We start from the raw sequence: 23,629 nt of genomic DNA on the forward strand, positions 1-23,629 counted from the left end.
GCCTCCCGAGTAGCTGAGACTACAGGCGCCTGCTGCCACGCCCGGCTAAATTTTTGTATATTTAGTAGAGACAGGGTTTCACTGTGTTAGCCAGGATGGTCTCCATCTCCTGACCTCGTGATCCACCCACCTCGGCCTCCCAAAGTGCTGGGATTACAGGCGTGAGCCACCGCGCCCGGCCTGTGATACATCTTGATGCTAGGTAATGTGAGTCCATGAATCCTCTAAATTTATTTATTTTTGAAAGGTTTGGCTTCTATGTCTCTTAAGTTTGCCTATTACTTTTAGAATTCAGGTGTAAATTTCTGCAATGATTCTTTTTTGGATTTCGACTGGGAGTTCATTGAACCTGGTTGTCAATTTTGGGAGGGTTGACATCTTGATACTGAAGTGTTCAGTTCTTGGCTTTGACTGGCGTCTGCATTTGTTTGGGTTCTTTCATTGTCCTCGGCAGCGTTGAGTGGTTTTTCAGCCTGGAGGCTTTGCTTATCTGGCAGACTCCATTTCTAAATACTTTGTTCTTGATGGTATTCTAAATTAGGTTGAAACTTTTTAACCTTTTAATTTATTGCTGCTTGTGTTTAACAACTGACTTGTATGTTGATCTTATATTCTGGGATCTTGACTTAATTCATGTATTTTTTCCAGGGTTGTTTTGAGATTGCTTAGGATTCTGTATAAAAATTCATGATGTCTATGAATAAAGACAATAGGCTTCTTCCTTTCTGATTGTTATGCTTTAATTTCTTCTATTGAGCTGTCCAGAACCCTCCAGGATGACTTCAGTAAGTGTGGTGACAACAGACGTCCTTCCCTGTTTCCTGGTTTGGGGGAGCTTGCAGGATTTCACCAGTGAGGACTTGCTCCCCATGTTGGGTTTCAGAGGCGTCTTCCTCACTGTGTGGAATTTTTGTCAAATGATATTTCATGTATGTGTTGACATAGTCATGTGCTCTTGCTCCTTTATTCTTTAAATTTGGTAGAATAAATTTTTAGAATTTTAAACCAGGTGTATACTTTTCTTTTTTTGGTACTGTCTTTGTCTTGTTTTGGAATTAGTCTCATTCTGATGACAGATCAATTTGGAAGCATTCCCTCTTCTATTTTCTGAAAGAGTTAAGTGTTGGATTGATATTACTTTATCTCCAAATTTTGGGATGAATGCACCTTGGATGCCATCTGGGTCTGGTGTCAGAAGCCTTTTGTGAAGCTTCCTGGTTTAGTAGAATTGGGTGCTGCCTTCCCTCATCTCGGGGTGCTCCCACCTGGAGCCATCTGTGCTCTGTGTGGCTGCTGTCCTCTGGTTGCTGAGTGACAGTGGCTGCTGGGATTTGGGGCAGCATCCTGCTGGCTCTGGCCCCTGCCCTCACCCTTCTCCGAGTGCCTATGAGTCCCAGGGTGGTCCTTGCTTCCTCTGAATGGGTGTTTCTTTAGTAGATAAATTACAGGTTGACCACTGGGCCTTCTTCAGTGACATTGCATCTGTGCTTGTGTACAAAGTGTGATTCCCGCTCCCCAGGTGAATCCACTTACCTGTGTGTGGCTTCGCACGGGGACCAATGACTTCCTTGCATAGTTACCTTTCCCTCCCTAAAAACGTGTGAGAAGCACATCAGTTGGGAAAGTGGTATATTTTCCAAAAGGGAAGCAACATAAGCTGCTTTTAAGTTAGTTTCATAACTGCCTGACAGTATCAGGTTTCTGTGAATGCCATCACGTCCAGGAGCACTTGGCCTCTGCAAGAGCGGAGCAGCTCCCCCGCGCCATCTTCCCGCAGCTGCAGAGCTCTGACCTCGTCAGATTCCCTGCAGTGCCCACAGTCTAATGAGAGGGGCCAGGCTGTATGTGTTTACTTTTCTAATGTTATTTTGGGGCTTGTTTAGTTTTCCATAATGTTGATTGCCGTATTTGATTACTTGAAAAAATGGACCGTATCACCCTGGGTCATACTTAGATTACAAAAATAGTAGCAGTAGGACTTGTAGATCTTGGAAGCTGGGGAGCTAAGGGGGCTCATCTTTCACTTACCAAGGGCTTACCCTTGTTTTTCATTCTTTTATTTTTTTCACATAAGCCTTTTCAGAAAAATATAGGAAAAGCTGATAGAGTCCAATTGAACTAAACCACTTTAAAACTTTTTGTATTTTGGAAAATGTGGGGACTACACACAGACTGTCTTCTACTGCAGAGGCTCTTTTTCTGTCTTCATGGTAGGGATCCATTTACAGGGTTTGTGGGTCTGCTTTTGGCATCTGGCCCAGCCAGCCCTTGGATTGAGGCTGGGTGGGGCATGCAGGTTGGCCCTGACCCTCTTCTGAGCACCTGGCTGGCTGGACAGATAGGGCCTTCAGTCACCAGCTAGGCTGGCCTGACCCTAGACCCTCTGGAACGTGAGAACGTATCCTGCCGGGCCTCTGTGTTGAACCTGGGAGGAGAGTTGTCTGATGTCATTGGATGCCCTATGAGTTTCTGCCCTCGAAACGTGCCCCATGGAAAGCGTGAAGATGCCTTTGAGCTTCCCGAAGGGCAGCTGCAGCAGGAGGTGACCTGCGTTTTGCCTCTCTCCTGCTCATCTCTAAATGTGTTCAGGAACTCAGTCGACCCTCAGCCGTGCATGGGGTCCCGGCTGGCTTGGTATGTGCACCTGCCGAGTCTGTGCTGCCAGTTATCCCCACGGCCTCTCCGTGCAGGTCGGTCTGACCAGTGCCAGTCGGATGGTTCCTCAAGGTCCACGGGCCATGAGAACCTTCCTGGGAACTTCACGAATTCGTTTTTTTCTGACAGATTGGGAAATTAATACAGACACTTGCCGCATTCACGTTACTATAATTGATCTTTCAAGGAGGAGAAGAAACTGTTCTTAAGGACAAACACTTAGAGAAGCACTGCCAGTAAAAATAACATCCAAAAAAACGCGCTCTGTAGGACTTTTACCTGCGGCAAGTTCGGCTGTCTCATTGCTTTTCCTCAGTGCCGTGAAATAATGATTTGTGTTGTATGTGCTTAAAAAATGTGATTATTTTACTTTATAGAGTGTTCCTTAAGGAGGTCTCTTGAGTCAAATAAGCATGTTTCTGTGAGGAAAACTTGCCAGGCGCTCCTTGGCTTTATAGAAATCGTCTGTTTTTCAAAAACGAATGGCTGAATGCCCTGGCGAGCCTGGAACCCCTTGTTCTTGCCCCTGCTGGCTCTGCGATTCCATGTCGGTGAGGCCTGTCCACGCTGACGGATGTTGCCTCCCGTTTCTGCCTGAGAGGGGTAAATGATCAGTGGTGGATAGGGAGTTCCTCTTGTGACTTATGTTATCAATAACACAAATTGTGCATATACTTCACCCCATGCTAAACATTTATAGTGCAGTGTCCTTTAGAAGCCAGACAATGGCCTCGTCTTTCAGGTTGATGGCTAAAAAGACAAGACAGGAAGCCAAGGTGTTTCTTTTCAGCTCCACAGATCCTTGTGATGAATTATGTTCCGTGACGAGAGGGTACGATGGGGGCCGACTGCTGGCCCCCGGACACACAGTGCTGCACATGGGGCCTGCAGAGGTGTTAGCGTAGCCCGTGATGGTGGCAGCTCTTGGACCTTAGTAAAATAAAGGGAAGCAGCATAACATATGCTTTTAAGTGAGGGTATGGCGTGAAAACCCTGCCGTTGTGTGATAGGAGACGGGCTCTGCAGGCTGAGCCTTCCAAGTCGTGAATGATGAGGTTTGCTGTGCTCCTCTGATTGGCAGCTGAAAGGGCAGGTCAGAGCTCCTCTCTACAGCACTGCGGAGAATCCCAGGCTGTGGAGCACTGGCCCATCCACCCCAGGACAGAGCTGCCTCGCCACAGAAGAGCGAGGTTCTGGGATTCACTGTGAAATTGTTGTATGGTTTCTGATCTAGAAAATCAAACCTAAACAATGCGCAACCTCACCAGCTTCGGTGCTCTTGATGTTTTCTCCCTGCAGCTGGTTCTTTGCTGACCTGGGGGCAGAGTAGACAGTGGTGGCAGCCAGGTGGATAGTATTTAAACAAGTGTCACTGAGATTTAGGGTCCTTATGTGCTGGACTCATCTAAGAAAAAAAAAAGCAATGCAAAAGTTTTATTTCTGTCAATTTTGTAACTGTGTTACAAGGAGACAGAGATGGCAAACGTGTGTGCCTGTGTCTGTGAGTCAGAAGCAAACTTGTTCATTTCATTTAATTTTAAGTCTGCCAGGAACTTCTTGGAAGGAAGAAAAGAATGGTTGAATGACAGCTACAAATAGGTGAGTTCAGAATATGATCCAAAGTGTCAGAGCAAAAGATTTTTTAAGTTTCCAACATTTGGAGTAAAAGAGCACTTTAGAGTAACAGGTAAATGGGTTAACTTCAGGCAGAGAGAGGTGGATGTTTCTGCCTCTCTGGTATGTTAAAATAAAACCCCTTAAATCCCCTGCTCTTAACAATAAGTTTCCATTTAAGAGTCATTGGGCTTCACCTCTGTTCGGCTCTGTTTGTGAAGGGAGGGCAGCTTTTCTGGGGAGATCATGCCCCTCTCTCCTTTATGTGGCCACAGAGATCCTTTCCCTGTTTTCATGAGGAGGAAACATGGAACCTTGGCACAATCCAGTTCTCATCTAGAATTACATTGTATGCTGTGCAGGCCAGGGGAGGAAAGATCCCGGAAGTGGCAGCCACCGGATAGGCACGTTGCCGCCACAGCCAGCATCGGCGTCTGTTCAGGTTTCAGGAAGGTCACTTCTTGGCTCAAATCCCTGGTATTTCCAGGTTGTCTTCAGACTGCGGCTTTCACCCTCAGGAAGCCCCAGCATGGCCTTGGGCCCAGCTTAGAGGCTTGTGGGGGTTTGGGTGTAGCCCCGTGCACAGTATCCTGTCTAGGATTCATAATCTTGCAACAGCCATCCCTGATGGGATTGGGTAAGATGACAGTGTCCTTTCTCGATGGCCCTGGTGCCCTGTGGAGTTGGGTCCTGGCCCTCACTACCCTGTTGCGTGGGTGGGCCACGCCCCTCCTGCTGATCAGCCTCTGTTGCAGAGAGTCTGGCCCTGTGGACCCCTGCCCCCGGCCCCAGGCCCTGTGTCTGCGCTGGGCTTGCATTGCCTGCCTCTCGGTCCCCTCGCCTCATTGCAGTTTGGTGCTTCTAATTAGTTGTGGTCTTGAAAAGCTGGTGAACAGGCTTGTCCACATTGTATGGGAAATAAGGTTCAATGAACCCCTGTGAGAAACGCCAAGTGTGGGATTTCTGACAGTATCCCACAGAAACATCTCAGAGCCCATTTCTGTTTCCTCCTGGAGTCTCTGTTTCTCCCAGAAGAGGCGGCGTGGCCAGGGGTCAGGCAGATGTCAAGGAAGTGAGGACTCGGAGGGACTGGCACCTGTGGAATAGCCCCTGCTTCGTCTGTCTGGCCTGGTGGGAGGAGGTGTCCTTCCGTCACTGCACTTCGTCCTTGGGACCCCTCTGTGAAGTTGTTGGCATCAATGTGCGTTTACCAATAAGAGAAATGGAGATGGGGTGAGGGATGGTGGGTTACAAGTCCTGGGGAAGACTTCAGGGAAGAAGTGGGTATTCCCTCTACTTAGCTGAACTTGCAGTAGAGACTGCCACTCTGGGAGTGACTTCTGTTCTCCTGTGAAATCCTCTGTGACTCTTGCCTGCAGTTGAGGGAGCCTCTGAGACCATCCTGATTGGGATTTGGTCAGTGGGAACTCAAGTCAGTATTGTCCTGGGGGCCTGAGTGCCAGTGTCTTAAAAATAGAGTGTCCTCCAGGTAATGTTGGATTTGGAAGTTCAGGCTCAGCACTGGATTTGTCCTCGTGATATCACTCGCCTACTGTACACATGAGTCATTGTAAAGTTACGACATGAGCTCGCATACGTGCTGGTATTAGAGCTCCTTGGACGGTGATGTGCTGTTTTAGAGGAGAAAAAGCTGAGATGAAACAAAAATGGTGGTGGCAGTTACCCAGGGCCACGTCTGTGGATGCCATCCTCAGGATGCCATTGCATCTCGGGCCAGCCTCCCTCTGCTTTTGCAAAAGCACAACCGTCTGGCCTCTACGACCACCAACACACACCTCTCATACTCTGGAATTTGATTTCTGGAATGCTTTTTTATTCTTCCTATATCTGTAAGATTTTCTGATATTTAAACTGGCTGCAACTAATGAATAGTTTTCAGTTTTGTTTTAAAAGTGTTCATGTCATTTAAGCTCTAAACTCTCACAATATACTTGGTTTGTTAAATGTAAAATTTTATCAGTAATTAGATCAGCTCCTTGATATTAATGTACAGGGTAGCTCTTGCGTGCTGATCAGTTCAGAATTTAAATTGAGTTAAAGGTTAAATGAGTTTAATTTTTGAATTGAACTGAAGCATTGTCTTGTGGCAAATTCATCCAGAATTTTTATTTCCAGTTGCTGTACAAGTGACGGAAGTGGGTCTTTTTGCGATAAAAACATTGTGAATACATTTAGGATTCAGTGAGCTTCTGTCATTTACTCGCTCATTCTCTAAACGTGTGAGTGCCCTGCTCCGTGTCAGACCAGATGGCAGGCCCTGCATGGGGTGGGGAGGGGCCAGAATGTGCAGCCCCACCTGCAGCCCAAGCCCAGCTCAGGGGCAGACAGGGGCAGACGGGGAAGTGGGCTGTTCCACACCTTGAGATTGGTGAATTCCTCAAGACAGCGGCTGGCAGGGGCCCAAGCCTAGGTGACTGGCCACAGAGCTGAATGGGGCTGACCGAGTTAGGACATCACTGGGTGGTGAACCAGGAGGCCCTGGCTGCTGACAGGATGTAGGGGCATGGAGGGGTAGCAGAAGGAGGCAGTTAAGAGGCTGCGAGCCCCCTCTTGGGCATCTGACGGGGTGGTGCTTCCTCCCAGGGCTAGGGGAGAGGTGAGCAAAGAATAACCTCAGGAAAAGAAATAAAAGACCTGGAGGAACAGTTTAACAAGTGGGTGGCCATGAAGAGCTACCAATGGAGACTGAAGGAAAACCAAGAAGGACCAGAGAGAGAATGGAGCCAGGAGGCTGGAAGGAGAGAGGCGGGTTTTGTGTCAGGATTGCCCAGAGCTCCCCGGAGAGGAGCATCTCTCCTCTCCATGGCAGAGCACAGAGGGTGGAACACTGACGTCAGATCTTCTTCAGGCCCTGAACGTAAGAATTCCTTGGTACCTGGTCTGCTTTGAGACTGACATGCTGTGTTTGATTAGTTTGACTTCGGGATGCCAGCTAAATGCTGTTTGCTCAGCATATGCCTGAACTGGAAATGGTTCCATCACAAAACAAACTGAATCAAATAGAACGTGGGGGTGGCTCAGTGGGGACACAGAGCCAGAGGTGAGTCTCCTTCACCCCAAACACCCCAAGTTCTAGATTTGTTCTTGGAGCTCTGTGTCAGGGTTGGGGTGGACAGGAGGGAGAGAATATCCTCCGCAGAAACACAGTTTATCACACTGCAGAATTCTTAGTGTTCTTCTGACAAGGACGTTTGTTCAGTTTCCCTCTAGACTGGGCCATGCTCTCTAAATAGAACTGAAATCATAGTTACAACTCAAAGGCAGTTGAGAGAAGAGTTCTAGCTTTGTTCCATAACGTCCTGTGTCTTGATTTCACTGTATCTGTCTGTTCATCCTGCTGGGGGCGTTAACCCACCTCTTCTCGTACAGGGTCATCTCTAGTTTCACTGAGGACCTCTGAGAACCCTAGTCCCTCTGTCCATACACATCGGCAGGAGACTCACCTCCCCCCTTTCCTCCTGTACCCCATCTGATCCACATGCACAAAACACACACATGCAAATATTTAAAAGTAGAAAGGCTTATGGACTGTATGACTTCAGTACACCTGCAGATTCATGGAGTGGTTCTGGAGAACATTGGTCCTTCTGCCGGCCTGGCAGCTACTTTAATTTCTGGTGTCCATTGGCAGAATACAAGCTCATAGTGTGTGCTGGGGGCTGGGTGGGGCAGGGGATTACCGTTTTCTTGCAGTGATTGTTCTTGATGGAATCCACATTACTGCTTTCAAAGCTGCTTTTCCTGTGCCTTCTTCCAGAAAGCTATCCTCCCGTCCTTGGTTGGCTGGGGCAGGTGAAGCATTAGGAAATGCTCTGTCTCTGCATTCTCTTCGAGTAACACTGGGGAGTGTTCATGGCTTCTGGCAGAACAGCAATGTTAGCCTTCAGCTGCTGAAGCAAGCCTTCTGCTCATTCTAGAGGCATCTTCTAAACAGATCTGCACTGGTCAGGTGGGGCTGGAGAAGGACTGGGCTGAGAGCACAGCTATGGGAGGCAATACTTGTTCTTGTTCCCAAGAAGCTGATGTGTCGTCCGGTGAGGTCTCTCGTCAGCCGAAGGTTGGCACAAGGTCGCCAGGCAAGGGCTTTTTGTATGTGAAGTATGCACATTCTAGCCACAGAGTTTTCTGCCAGGGTGTTTAGACAAGCTAAAAGTGGAATATAAACTGTATTCAATTTGCTAGGTTGCAATTATAAGGACAAACATGTTTTTAAGACTTAACCCATTATAGTAGGAAAATACAAGGCTTGGGGTATGCTGACTCTTTCCCTTGTTCGTCTCTCAAATAGAAAAATGGTGTGTGTAAGTAGGTGTTTGTATATGTACATTATAAGACATTCTAGAAATTTCTGTCCTATTTCTTTAATATTCTTGCCACTAAAAATATATGCTCCTGAAACTAGGGAAAAAGAAACTGTTTATCATTCTTCTGAATTATTACAGATACCCCAAAAGTAGCCTCCTCCAAATAGTGGTTTTTCTTTTCTAAAAATCACCTGGAAAAATACTGAGCTTTCTGATCTTTATTTTATCCTTTTCAGTGGCTCTGTTTGGAAGAGTTATTGTACAACCCAGCACTGCTTTTATTAAAAAGAAAACTGGGCCACTCATTTCCTTCAAAGTTTTTGGTGTGTTTAAATCTTCTCTAGGTAAACAAAACTTTTATTGAAAATAATATTTTGAGACCGTGACACCCTTCTCACAAGAAGCGGTGCTGAAAGCCCCCTTGTTGGCTGGTCCTGCAGGCAGCCTGGCGTCTGCTTTGCCTGTGGGCCGTGCAGGGTGCTGGGGGCAGTGGGGAGAGGCGTCAGTCCCACCTGCAGCTTTCGGGGGGGTGCTGGGGAGGCAGATTTGACATGAACGCAAATAAGTGCAAGGACCATCAGGGCAAAGAGACCCAGGAGACCAGGCCAGGGGAGGAGGCAGAGAGCCTGGTCAGGCCAGGCTGGTCCTCCAGGTCCAGGCCCTGCAGGATCCTGGAAGGCGTGAAGATGGGCTGGAGGTGTGAGCACCAAGAATGGGGCGCGGCCTGACCTTGGGTCTCTAGAAGTTACCCTGTGGTGGCATTTTCTATAATTGATGTCATAAATAGCTGGCTTCTTTGTTAGAATTCATTTACTTACTAAGTTTGGCAAATATGTTGAAGGAAAGAAATGTGAGTGTGTGGATGGATTTCAGCACGTTGACATCAGTGCCTGTCTCCTTGGTGCCTGTTGGAGACACCGTGTTGGAATAAGGATGAGGTTCCTCCCTCAGAATGGTTGATCCATTTCCTTCAGTTCTTCTTCAGTTTTGCAGCTTTTCTCCCCTAACTGTAGCAGACCATCTCCTGGAATCTCATATTAAAGGCATAATTAATCATGTGATATCCTCTCGTTTTTTGCATCAGAGTTTTCAAGAGCCCTCCAGATTTTTATTGCCTGCAGATCCGTGTGCTTAGACATAGTACCGTCAGCAGTAAACTGGCTTCTGGAGAAGAAATTGACAAACAACTTTATAGTTGCATTTTTAGCCTTAATATCTGAGGGCGAGAAGAATGTTCAGGATTTATGAAGTTCCTGAATTTAAAATATAAGCAATAAAATGTTCCTAATGTGGGGTCCCCATCTGCATCTATTATTACAAACTCTTAAAGTCACTTTAGCCTAACATGTCAATAGGAGTTTTCTTCTCTTTCTCTTTTCTTTTTGACAAATTGTGTCCAAGCAAATTAGTTTGCTTGCATGAAGCGTCATCTGTGTTTGCAAGCTGGAACAGTTTTGCTGGTTAAGCAGTCTAGAGATGATAAAATTTTTTGTCCGAGTATGACTTTGGTGGTGAATTTAAAAGAATCACGGCCGCTGCTGGAAGCTCAGAGGAGAGGTCCATTTTAAAGGGCGTCTGCTGCACTCAGCCCAAAGCGTTACGGGGATTGTTTGAATTGACAAAATGAAAATATGTATTATATTTTCTCTTTTTAAAATCCATTTACAGTTTATTTGTCTGATATGGAGGAGCAGAGGTATAAATTACAGAGAAATTGTCATCATATCCTCTGGATGATAAGTAGGGCCAGGGCTTCTGTTTATTTCGGTGGTTGGTTACCCACTCAGGACAGTAAAATCACAAAGTTTTAGCTAAGGAAGGAGAAATCCCTTCTGCCTGTATAATAAATGTTGTTTTGACCCAACTACACTGTTTCTTGTGATAAAAATATGTCACTTAAGGTTTCCTGCATCTGCCATTTGTGAACGTACAGTTGAGCGACATTAGTTGGTGCCATCTGTGAGTGCACAGTGCAGCAACTTTAGGGGGTTCACAATGTTCCGCAGCCATCACCGCCGCCCAGCACTGGCATGTTTCACAGTGTTCCGCAGCCATCACCGCCACCCAGCACCGGCATGTTTCACAGTGTTCCGCAGCCACCACCGCCGCCCAGCACCGGCATGTTTCACAGTGTTCCGCAGCCACCACCGCCACCCAGCACCGGAATGTTTCACAGTGTTCCGCAGCCATCACCACCACCCAGCACTGGAATGTTTCTGTGTTTTGATTCTTTTTTTTTTTTTTTTGAGACTTAATCTCGCTCTGTCACCTAGGCTGGAGTACAGTGGTGCGATCTCGGCTCACTGCAACCTCCATCTCCCAGGTTCAAGTGATTCTCGCGCCTCAGCCCCCCAAGTAGCTGGGATTACAGGTGCACGCCACCACGCCCAGCTAATTTTTGTATTTTTAGTAGAGATGGGGTTTCACCGTGTTGCCAGGATGGTCTCGATCTCCTGACCTCAGGTGATCCACCTTCCTTAGTCTCCCAAAGTCCTGGGATTACAGGCGTGAGCCACCGTGCCTGGCTTCATCTCCAGAACTTTTCTGTCTTGCAGAACTGAAACCCGTACCCATTAAACACTAACTCCCCATTTCTGCCAGCCCATCCCCTGGCACCCACCCTACTCCTTTCCGTCTTGATGCTAACACACCTTGTGTGGGTTCCTCCAAGTCAAGAGAAGGAGTGTCCAAAGACCCCTGAGACCAGAACCCTCTGCCAACGTTGGTAGTGCTGTTTCGGCCTGGAGGGCAGGTGGGCCTCTGGGCACTTCTTCGTCAGGACATGGAGCCATTTCGGGTAGGGCCCTGGGTCTACCCTGTCCCAGCCCCGTTCCCTATCAGAAACCCGAGGCCCAGAGGTGCAGGGCAGCTGCAGCACCAGGGTGGACAGATGTTGATGATCAGTGGGAAGGAATTCAAAGAAATAGAACATTCTACACAAATGTGGGGAGGTATCTTTAGTAAAAACAGGACCCAAGTACATGCAAAGTGCACTGTGAGGGAGAGAGATGCTCTGAAGAAAGGCACTGTTTTTACATTAATGAGCATTTAAATGATGCTGGGTTAACCATTTGGCTTTTTGTACCTTGTCACCATCTCCTTTATGGTGTGATTGGACTTTCGAGAGAAGGTGGAGGAAGGTTAATAGATAGGTAGGAGAGTTGCAGGCAGGAAAGACAGAAGGCCCCGGGGATGATAGGTGGGGCAGAGGGAGGGATGGAGAGGTGACTTCAGGAAGAGCATCAGCTGCCGCAGGCCAGGGCACCCTCAGGAAGCAGGCCCCCCATGCTTGCAGCTGCCCCCGGGAGCCCTCATCCCCAGTCTGACAACTCGAGGTAGATCTGGGTTGCTCTTTATTTTTTGATGATTTTTGCATAGTTTCAAGGATCAGTGTCTTCTACACTGATATTCTATCTCTGTAAGTTTCTCCGAGGTATTTTCACCTGTACTGACATTGTAGTCTTTCCTTACTCTCTTATTTATTTATTTACCAGACCCCACCACTGGGTGCAGTGATCAAAACCAAAATATCAAACCAGCACCAGAAACTCTTCAGCAGACCGGTGGAACATGCCTTAGAGAAAGCCAGAGGGGTCAGGCATAGCCTCCTGTGCCTGGCCTGCGCTCGCCTGGGAAGGGCACCCCTCGCTGTCCAAGAGTGACCCCAGGCCACAGAAACCACGCTGAGTACCAAAGGCGAGTCCCCAGGGTGTGGGCAGGCTCCTTGCTGGCATGTTCAGCCCAGGCTTGCCGGAAGTGGGGCTCAGGCTCTGTCTGTGGGATAATGATCAGAAGCTTGGCAGTCATGGGACCAGGATAAGAAGAACCAAAGGACAGCTCTCCTCTCATGGTTATGGGCCAAAAAATAGGTGATTGTTTTAACTGTGGAAACTGACCCACTAAGGGGGACCTGCTGAGAGGAAGGCCAGTGGGGCCGCAGACAGGAGGGGAGGCCACAGCCGCCCACCCGCTCATGGCCGAGCGCCCCGTTTCCTGAACATGTGGGAGGGGCAGGCTCCCCACATGGGAACCACTGGGCCGTGACTGTGGCGCTCCAGCTGCTGGCAGTGCACACCCGGTGGGGCCCTCTGTGGCTTGAGCTGCGTCACCATGACGCTGCATGCCCAGGTGGTCATCCAGGAGGATGACTCTGTGCAGACCTGTGTGCCCCCGGGCCTGGGCCTCCTGCACCCCAGAGGTCAGTGACAGTGGAAATTGCCACAGACGTGGGTTTGTGGCCTTCAAAGCCTTCAATGTCACAGAATTCTGAGTCTTTAGCTAAATTAAGTACATGTTCACGTGAGTGTGTGATTTCTCCATGAGGACTGAGCCTCATAGTTTGTCCCTGTACCGGTGTCAGTTCATCGCTTTGGTCTTGGTGGAGAATTCTGCATCGCAGGCACATCGTCTGGTTAGCGGGAGACATGTTTGGCCAGCGGTGAAAGACTGCCTTGCCCGAGTTCCTGAGACTTCGGGGCTACTGATGGCAGGGAGAGGCTGGCCGAGGGCAGGGCCACGCGGTCCCCTTCTGCTGATGTCCGTGAGGACTGGGCACAGCTGCCAGAGTCAAGGGCACGGAAGTGCAAGCAGTCCGTCCTTTTCTGAAGCCTGCTCTTTTTGTTTTTCCCCACGTGTGTCACCTTTTAACGTTTTTTTCCTGGCTTTTTCATTAATGTATGTAAAAATATTAAAAGCCCTTGTATATTACATGAAAAACTATGTCAGCTGCCTTGCTTTTTTCTATTTATTAAAACTTTTCAAGCAGTAAAAACATTTTACTTGTTAATGAGGGAAAGTGGGAAAATTAATGACATAGAGCTTGGATCCACCACGATGTCTCCTCTTAACCATGCGCAGCCAGCTTCCCACCGCATGGAGTTTAATTTCTGCGATAGGGTTCAGTAAGCAAATGCAAATAGATTTAATGATTTGCATCAGTAGATCATTTCTCAGTTTAATATCCTCTGATATTTTGGGTCAAGGACTCTTTCTTTGGGAGACTAGTATAATTTCTAGAGGTAGAATTATTAATATTAGTGATATTACATTATGTTGAAGTGAAGTGAGATAGATGTATCATTTTCACAAAGTCAGATTTCTGCGTGACTTTTATTCATTGTGGTGCAAAGGAAACCCTGGCTGCTGAAGTAGACTTAGGAGCAGGCAGAATTCCTGGACGCAGGTGCCTTGGAGTGAGGTGACCCTCTCTGGCCCCCAGCACCTTGCGAGCAGTGGTTTTTGCATCTGTTCACCAGCGCATGTGAACCTGTGGGCCCGGGGGACACGTGGTCCATTTTTGTTGAGTACGTTCAACAAAGGAATGAATTAAAATGAGAACTCTTTTCAGCAAACGCTGATGGAGCTTTCTGTGTCTCGTGTGTGGCACCATGCTGACGGAATGACGAGAAACCACAACCTGGCCTCAAGGAGCTTTGTCTACTGCGGGAGACAGAGATGGTGGCAGATCAGTCCTGGAGGCACAAGGAGAGAGTGGTAGAAATACACAAAAGGCATTGAAGACCAGTGGAGCATCAGGGTCACTTTCACAGGGAGGAGGCCAGGGGTCTTGTTGCCTGCCTGCCCCAAACGTGGCCTCCATTCCTTCTTTCTGTCTCCCGCTGGAAAGGCTGAGTGCAGGTGCCAGCTCTCTCTGCCTCACTGAGCGGGTATGTGTGAGAAGCGTAGGCCTACTGGCAGGCTCCTGGGGAAGACGTTTCTCCCCTGATACAAAGAGCAGCATGAGGAAGACTCTCCCGGCTCCCCAGTCTGCGGACACAGTTGTGTGAATGTGATTGCAGGAGGGAGCTGGGCAGCTGTTATGTGACCATGAGGGCGTGGGACTGGGGCTGAAAGGTGGCGTGCTGCCAATGAGAAAGATGGGGAGAGCTGGGCACCTGCTGGCCCTGTGGCCGGCCAGGCCGCCTCTGAACACCTATTCTGTGACCTGATGTGCATCCTCATCACACACTGCAGCCGTGAGCAGCACGCAGGTGATGACGGGTCATACGCCATCTGGGGACTTGATGCTCCTTTTAGCAAATACAGAAAGTACAAAGGAAATAAGAATCAGTTCCATTAATCAGTGATAGTCTTTTGGTGTAATTCCTTCTAGCTTTTTTTTTGTTTTCATCGACATATTTAAAATCAGTTTTGAATTCTACTTAATTTTATATCTTAAGCATTTTTCTTGTTCTGACATCTTTTTAAGCATGATTTTTCAAGGTCTGTGCTTGGTTCTTTGTTAAGGCCTGTTGCGTGGTTGTACGTGGTGGTATTTTAACTGTCTATGTCCTGGTGAACCTCTATGTTTTTGTTTCTGTTTACTGGGCTGCAGTAAACAGTCTCGATGAACACTATGTAGCCCTGGGTGAGTGCTTCCTGAGCAAGCTTGCTTTTTGGCCTTTCTCCCTGTAGCTTTTTTGTCTGTAACACCCCTTTCTGTATTGCAGGTTGGCTTCTGAAATCAAATGTGACCCTAAGTGACTCCTCACTGTTTTTAAGATAAGAAAGCATTAGCTCTGTGTTTTCCTAGCCCCTCCGTTCTTGTACTTAGACCCTTCACTCTGAACAGCAGGTATGCCAGCCTGTACTTCCTGGCATTATTACCCAGTGGCCCATAGCTCAGAAGTGACATTGTGTGGTGTGAACGCTGTCTCCGGAGCGAGATTCCTAACTCCTCTACTTTACAGCTATAAAGTGGACAAATCACTTCACTCCATGCCTCAGTTTCCCCAGGTATCACACATGGGGACTATAATAGCATCTAACCACATAGATTGTTGGACAATTAAATGAGCTGACCAGCAGGAAACTCTTAGAACAACGCCACCCCATAGTAAGCACTCAATAAATGGCAACTGCTGCCGTTGATGAGGATGACGATGGTGCTATTTCTACCACTTCCTAAGGTCGCCCCTGCGTGCTCAGCAGCCACCTCCACCCTGCCCTACCCGCTGCCCACATATTTCATAGGCCTCCTTAGATGTCCCTGTCTTTGAGCCGGGAGCCCTCGCACTCCCAGGCTTGCTTCAGATCCCTTGCCTGAGCCTGTCCAGCACTTTGAGCCCGCTCTGCCCGAGCGCTGTTCTCCTTCCGTGCCGTGCTGTCTGCTGTGAGTCCTGGAGAACAGGGACCATGTCTATCTTGCTGGCCTTAGTACCCCTCACAGGGCCTAGCCCAGGGGGCACTCAAGAAATTGTAAAGATCCATAGGCCGGGCGTGGTGGCTCACACCTGTAATCCCAGCACTTTGGGAGGCCAAGGCAAGAGACTCACTTGAGGCCAGGAGTTTGAGAACAGCCTGGGCAACATAGATTCTGTCTCTACAAAAAAACTTAAAAAAAAAAAATTATCCAGGCCTGGTGGAAGGCGTCTGCAGTGTCAGCTACTCAGGAGGCTGAGGCGGGAGGACCGCTTGAGCCCAGGAGTTCAGAGCTGCAGTGAGCTGTGATTATGCCACTGCACTGCAGCCTGGGCAACAGAGTGAGACCCTGTCTCTAAAAAAAAAATAAAATAAAAAATAAAGATCCTGTAAGTGAAGGGTTAGAAGAGTGGAATATATGTGCTCTTAACAAAGAATGGTGTGATTATAGAGATGGGAGGTGAAAAGTAGCACGAATTCCAAGTTTTATTTTCGGCAACTCCGTCAGAGTCCTGAATGTTCTTTACCCAGTTTCTCACTCCCACTGGGACTCTCTAGGGCCAGCGGGAACCCTGCAGGCATTCGGAGAACTGAGCGCTGGCTGGACCTCCTCAAAACGGGGCACCCTCCAGGGAGCTGTCGAGGGGCTCTTCTGCCTCTTCAGAAACCATCATCAGCTGTGAAATGTGGGCTTCCAAGTGGTTTTGTGTCTCCTCAGTTTACAGAGTCCATGTTTTTGGTGACTCTTGCCTTGGACCCTGATGGCGCTGGGGGGTTTCATCGCCATTTAACCCTCCGCGTCTCACAGAGACCAAGCAGTGCTTTCGGGATCGCTCTGTTGGTCTCTGTGTAGCACGTGGCCCCCAAAATTTAGGTGTTGAAGTCCTCATCCTCAGAACCTCTGGATGTGACAGTATTTTTGAGATAGGGTCTCTTAGAAAGGTGATTAGGGTAACTCAGGGTCATTAGAGGAGCCCCTCACCCAGTGTGACCGGTGTCCCCATGAGATGGAGGTTGTGGCACAGACACACGGAGGGATGGCCACGTGAGGACCCTGGGAGAAGGCTGCCTTCTGCAAGCCAAGGAGAGAGCGCCTTGGAGAAAACCAGCTGTGCCTACACCTTGGGTTCAGACTTGCAGCACCCAGGCTGCAGGGCTTCGTCAGGGCAGCCCTGGCGGAAGAACGCAGCCTCGTCGGTGGGTTTGGTGATGCTGTGCAGTTCAGCTTTACCGTCTTGCTGCAGCGGGAACGTCCTGCTGTAGAAGAGGCGCCGCCATCCCAGACAGTGTTCATAAACACCGACGGCAAAGTCAGGACGGGCAGGAGCGTTCTAGGCAAATGATGAAAATGGTATTTTACACATATTTGAAAAGAAAGGTTTGAGAAGGCATCCATTATTAAAACCAAATTCAACAGAGAATTTAAAAACTGGCTGTGGTGAGCAATGTTAGTCCCAAATCACTTTTTCACAACTTGTTTCTGTTCTGTCGTAGGGCTAGTGAGACCAGCTTTCCCTTGAGTTCTGGGGCGGGACGTGGAATGTTTGTGAGGCTACCCTTCATTGAAGGGGGGCCCGTGATGTTGAGTGTTCACCGTCTTTCAGAACGTTTGTGCGGTGGCGTGTCCCTTCTGTAAATTGCTGTGACCTGGGCTGCATGCTCCACAGTCAGACTCGCTTCGCCCTCTTACTGGTCTTCATTAATTCGTGGTCCCTGGAGTGGAGCGGGAAATACAGATATCCACCTCCTCTCATTATCCAAATACAATAACAAATTACGAAGCATCTTATCCTACCAACCATTATCCTATCAGAAAGCATGTGCTAATTTCGAGGAAGCAAGAGGAACTATGTCAGATGTGCCATGAGATGTAAAATGTACTCGCCCTGTATCTTGGTCTTCTCCTAGCAGTATCTTGTCTGACAATCTCCTTGTTTAACTTCTTGGGCTTTTTCTTTGACATCTTCCCACCTTTCCCTAAGGGTTTAACTGTCTTAGATCTCCTTGTCTGCTTCTGCCCGAGACTCTGGGTCCCTGTCAACTCGGGTAGAATTTTATTGGTATTTTTAGGCTCTTTAACATACTTTAATCATTGTGTTGCTGCATATATTTCTTCTAAGATAGAAGTAAATTGTAATTGTCCTCAGATAATAACCTAGGACCTTAAAATACACACAAATGTACACACTAATGAATTTTGTAAATATTACATAACTCGGTAATTATTGTTTCAAATTAGATAATGCAGAAATCTCTGGATTTTTATGTCGGTGTTTATAAAGCATTTTAATGATAATTGGGGAAGTTGGTTGTGGGTTTTTAGCTAGAACAGGAACCCATTATAATTTTTCCCAATTATAATAATGGGACATAAGCCTCTGTAACCTGAAATTTTCCTCTATGACATGTTTTCAGAAGTAGAATTATTAGATTTGATGAGTGTGGATGCCTAGGTTTGTAGTCAACTTTTTGAACTGAGCTAATCAATGCATATTTGGGAAGAGCATATAATCCAAAATATTGGGTCTACAAATGTAAGATTGCCTTTGGTGATGAGTTGGTGTCATCTGTCTTCTGTAGGAAATGAAGGGCCTCTTGCAGTGTGCTGTGCCTCATTTTAAACCTTTAACTGGCAAGTGGTCCTGATCTTCCCTCTGGACAGCTGCGGGAAGAGGTTTCCCGGTTTACCTTGGCCCCCGTAACACCACATCATCCCACGTGTGCGTGAAGAGCCCGCACAGGCCCCCTGTGCGCCCGGGGTCAGGTGTGGATGGGGTCGGGGTATTTCCAGTACTTGCGCTTCGGAGTCTTTTTAAAATTGAGAGCTCATCTATTGTTGATAAATGGCCAAATATAAATGTATAACACCTTGATTAATAGGCTGCTATGAAATTGAAGGTGGTCTTTTCTAGGAAATCCTCATTGAAATACTGCCCATTTTGAATAAGTCTAATAGTACGATGAACCACACCCTTAGTGGAAACGTTATAGGATGCAAATAGGAAGATTTGTGGGTGTTTTTCCTTCATGAATTTGTTGTTATCTTTGCAGAAGTGAAGAATATCAATATTTTATGGCCTTTCTTTGGGATTCGTGTTTATTACCAGTGATGCAGAGCGTGGCCCTGGTCCTCAGCGCCTCTGCCTTTGTGGTGGCGGGGGCCAGTTTGCCTGGTGGGGAGGTGTGTGTGTTTTCACCAAGTTAGCAAATTTCCTGTTTTCTCTTTTAAAATGGAAGGCTAGCTTCCTCTCCCATTGGCTTTTTCTGGAGATTGGAAATGGTATTACAGTCTTTGTTGTGTTATTGTGGAAATCTCCGGCGTCTCTCCTGATGTTGCCGCCCTGCACGGCCGTTGGAGAGTACTTGCAGGCAGCCCCGCTCCACACCACTTTTATCATCTTCATTTTCATTCTTTTGTGAAAATGTAGTTGCTTTGGAGCCTTTCGAAAAGTGTGTCAGATCATTTTTGCCATTTCTCTTTTTCCTTTTACTTTCTGTTATTTTCCATTTCGATCTCAGATACCCTTCTTAGGAAGCTGCATCCCCGACGCCGGGCTGGTCTGTTCTGCTCTGGGGGCGGCGTGTGCTCTCATTTCACTCCCATAATCAGCTTTGGCATATGGGATTCAGAGACGCAGTGCTTGGTCTTCTGAGATGTTTTGTGCAGCAGCTAGGTGATGTCCCAGTTCTCCTGGAATATTTGCATCGACCAGGATGCTGTTTCTGCGTCGGAACGTGGTGTCTTTGTTTACCCTTAGGCATTATCTTGCTTGTTTACCTAAATCTTTAACTCTCCTTAGGTGAGTGACTTCACTGATACTAAGAGTGATTAAAATAATGTGATGTATGGAGTCAACTTAGGCAATACATTTACCTGTACACCACACGTCCAATATTTATTCAGAATGATTTTTTTCAAATATTTAATAAGAATGAATAATTGAATGTACTATAGCCTTCTTACTTTGCCCTGCGATCCCATAAGACCTTTAAAGCTAAAACTAGTTTGGGCCCTTGAGGGGTTTATAGAAATTAGGTATGTCTGAGTATGGAAATGGCTGGCATGGTGAAAGAATTGAGTCCTTAAGTAATTTGCTATTCCCAGTGATAATTAGAAGAAACCCCTGTTCTAGCTCCATTTTCCCATTTTTTTTAATGTTTTAGGGGAGATTTCTTTAGGTATTAGCGGCTGATCTTTTTTTTCTTACCATGTACTCCCGCTGTAAGGTGAGTGGTTTTGGCATATTGTGTTGCCTTGATGGGTTATTAAATCGTCACTTGGAAGGATGAATGTGGGTTATAGAGTATGTTGTGCCATATATCATCTTAGTCATCAGGAATGTTTCAGAAAACTGAATAAGAGTAAAGTTTTTTAAATTTATGATTGAAATTAGCAATTTTATTAGGTCCTTTTAAAAAAACCTACAAACTTTTAAAGTTTTTCTCAAAATATACATCTTTGTTCTCAGAAGAGGTCTGCAGACTGCCCTAATTTGTCTTTTGAAAGGACACAGAATTTTAGCAGAATACTTATGCTGCAGAAATGGACAAATGCAGGTGCTGTTCCTTGGATGGTCAGCATGGAAGGTTGACGTGCTCCAAGATTTACTGTGCGTCACCTTAGCCATCAGTCCCATCGTATTCATTTAACTCCACTAATAAGAAACGGAGCAAAAGTGGAATTATGAGTTCAGTAGTATTCTATGAAAGGTCAGTTGTTAAAAAGGCAGAGTCTGACATTCTGTGAAAAAGGTGCCTTCATTAATCATTCTGATGGGAGAGCACGGGGCGTTCTTGACCAATACCAGTGAACCTTGCAATGCAAAGTTTCAGGGTCTGATGTGTAAGTTCTTATATAAAAACGAGGATCGTTTGAATATATGTTGAGATCATTCAAGGAATTGCTTTACCTTTGCTGTTTAAAAGTGTGTATATGATATAGAACACGTTATTAAATGTGCATTACTGTTTTGAAAAAGGAAAAACACCTGTTAATTTTATAGATAAATTATGGAAATCTGTGGTAGACACAGCTCCAGGCAGTAATGCATTTCCAAGCGAATGAATGGACATTTCCTATATGGATCATCTACAGATATTGGTAAGGTTTCTTTAAGTCTCTTTTGTACTCTGCATTCGTGGCTAAACCTATGCACTTTGACCCTGTTCTGCAAAACAAACCATGGCCTACTTTCAGACTCTCCTTCGTTCTTTTGCTGTTGGTTACGGTGGCAGAGTGCCTACTGTGTACACAGAATCTAGACATTTCACATTGAATTATCTGAGTATTTATGTGCCCTGACAATTCAGCGTTAAAGTTCAATACAAATATATAAATTATTAAGCAGTTAACCAGTGACACATTCATCAGCTGAACGTCTTTTATTGTGGCCTGTAGACAGATTATTTTCATTCAGCCATTAAAGCACAATATTGTCGGGTGAAATTCTGTTTCTGGATTTTCTTTGTCTCTGTTGCTGCTATGGAATTTCATTGAAAGCATCGAAATATGAGACTAACACAGAATACTGAGTGTTTCTTTTCAGAAACGGGAACTTTCAGACATTTTCTCTCCAGCTGAATTCAGTAAAGAGCAGTGTGTGTGTGTGTGTGTGTGTGTGTGTGTGTGTGTGTGTGTGTTCCTTTCCCAGCCAGCAGTGTTATATCTGAAGGGAAGGGTGGGGATGAGCTGTGGTGCCGCCCTTCACGCCATTGAGACGGGCTGGGAAGGTGCCCTTTCACCCTCTACCTGCAGTTGGTGCCTAGTGATTTTAAAGATTCAGGAATGTCTTTCACCGTGATTCTCACTATTAACCAATCTCACGTATCTAACTTTCCTTACTATATTATTAGTTACTACTTTCTATACAAGAGAGAGGTGGAGCCTGCCTGTGTCACGATGGGGAAGGCCCTTGGGATTCGCTCTGTGGGTGCGGGCAGCGACAGGGGTGGGTCAGGGTGCAGGCGGTGAGACGGCGAGCGAGGAGGTCGGGAAGGAGCCTCCACACCCCAGCAGGGCCCATTCCACACGAGACCCCAGACGAGGGGAGCAGAAGCTGCTGGTGCCTCTCTGTTCTTTGCCGGATGCTACCGTTGTCTGTGGCCACACTTGCTTCTTCAGGTGTGGAAATAGAAGCTCAGAGAAGTTAAACAATGCGCCAAATGTTACACCTTCCCATTCTAACGATTTTGTCAATTTCGGTGTCAAGGTGATATCTTGTCTGATGGTGGAGGTCATAGTTGTCTGTGAGGACATGGTATCCACCCTCAAGCATGTAATTATGCATGGAGAGGGCTCAGTTCAGTTTTACCGAGACACAGTTTATTGGAGTCTACAAATAGCATAAACTGCTATGTCTGCAGTGTTACCATTCTCTTTCCTTATTGTCATAATTTTTGTTTAATGGCTGTTTGTGCTACATTGACCAGGTCCATGGGTTGCTTAACATAAATGATTACATTTGCTTATGATTAAAAACTTCCTCCATTAGAAGCACTGCACCCAGGACTTGTAAATGATTTGTTGTTAAAGTTTTCTACTTCATTAGCCACGTCGTTGACTCCAGAGTCATTGTCTAAGAGTTAGGAACACTTGTAATGAGCTGTATAATATGGACCCTCGAACGAAATTTAAAAAGAGACCAAGCCTTCTAGGAACAGCTTAGCATGCAGATAAAAGGCTAGGAAAATGTGTGAACAGCGCCAGGCTGTAGGCTGAGGCACGTTCCATTCTGACTCAGAATGGCATGGGTGAATAAAGTCTTTTATGATGGAGCAAGACTTGTTGTAAAAAATTATATACCATTCATGACCAAAATCCTTCAAAACACTCCGTCACCATTCCCTTCTGAACCCTATAGCTTAAGTTCTAAGCATCTTGTGAGTCTCTTGATAGAGCGTTGAAAACTCCATGCAATGGTCTTTGGGACGCCATTCGAACCTGGCCTGCCCCTTGCTGGCACCTTGTTCGTCTTTGGCTCCATCCGGGGATTTGATTGTCAGTGACCCACCTGATTACAGTGGGCTGCCATGGCCCTGGCCTCGTGGTACAAAAACATGGACGATTTTGTGATTTATTATCGGAGGACAGCTAGCAAAGAGAACTTCCTGGAATAACTGCATTAAATGTGATGGGCATTTTTGTGACAGATGTAAAATTCTTAATCTTGAAAGCAGTTGCATGTGTCAGGCAGACTGGGTGTTAATTTTCTGACAGCAGTAGGAGGAGCTTTTTTTCCCCATTACAGATGGAATTAGGTCTACTTTGTACACAGTACTTTGTGACAGTGACTCTGGCCAGGGGAGGGGATATGCTGGTTCTGGAGTCTGAGAAGATGGGGCTGAGCCAGCTGTGACTCGGCCACACGTGGCTGTGGGACTTCGCACTGACTACGCAGCCTCTGCCAGGTTTCTTTGTAAAAGTGAAGTTAACACCGATCTCACAATATCTGGGGAGGAATAAATAGGAACACACATGCTGAGTTAAAGTCCTCAGTTATTTCGTCTTCAGCGACAGATGATCCCCGACTTACCGTGGTTCAGCGTTTGAGTTTTCGAGCTTTATGATGGTGCAGAAGCAGCCTACGTGCAGTAGAAACTGTACCACAAGTGCCCGTGCCACCATTCTGCGTCTCAGTACAGTATTGAATAAAGGACATGACACAGTCACCACTTTATTATAAAATAGGCTCGTGTTCACTGATGCTGCCCAACTGTAGCTAATTCAAGTGTTGTGAGCACGTTTAAGGCAGGCTGGGTGGAACCATGGCGTTTGGTGTATTGAATGTGTTTTCAGGGTCGATGTTTTTAACTTTCACTGAATGTATCAGGATGTAGCCCCATCATAAGTCGAGGCACATCTCTGTTTGAGTGCCTGTTACGTGCTGGCCATGGTC

The 23,629-nt window shown here is 46.7% G+C and overlaps 1 protein-coding gene across 1 annotated transcript in view, besides 2 other annotated features; it reads left to right on the top strand.

Moving 5' to 3' along the window:
- MGMT (O-6-methylguanine-DNA methyltransferase) overlaps positions 1-23,629 on the top strand; it is a 303,743-nt gene that overhangs the window by 72,384 nt on the left and 207,730 nt on the right. The window lies entirely within an intron of this gene.
- Positions 6,657-7,156: an enhancer, noted in NCBI's record as "H3K4me1 hESC enhancer chr10:131344545-131345044 (GRCh37/hg19 assembly coordinates)". NCBI's record gives its function as "activates a minimal SCP1, AML or CMV promoter by ChIP-STARR-seq in naive H9 embryonic stem cells {active_cell/tissue: H9 hESC(naive)}" and the evidence as "EXISTENCE:reporter gene assay evidence [ECO:0000049][PMID:30033119]".
- Positions 12,412-12,491: an enhancer, noted in NCBI's record as "active region_4203". NCBI's record gives its function as "activates an Ori minimal core promoter by ATAC-STARR-seq in GM12878 lymphoblastoid cells {active_cell/tissue: GM12878}" and the evidence as "EXISTENCE:reporter gene assay evidence [ECO:0000049][PMID:35858748]".

This window comes from Homo sapiens, chromosome 10, assembly GCF_000001405.40.
Source record: "Homo sapiens chromosome 10, GRCh38.p14 Primary Assembly".
NCBI classification, from domain to species: Eukaryota; Metazoa; Chordata; class Mammalia; order Primates; family Hominidae; genus Homo; species Homo sapiens.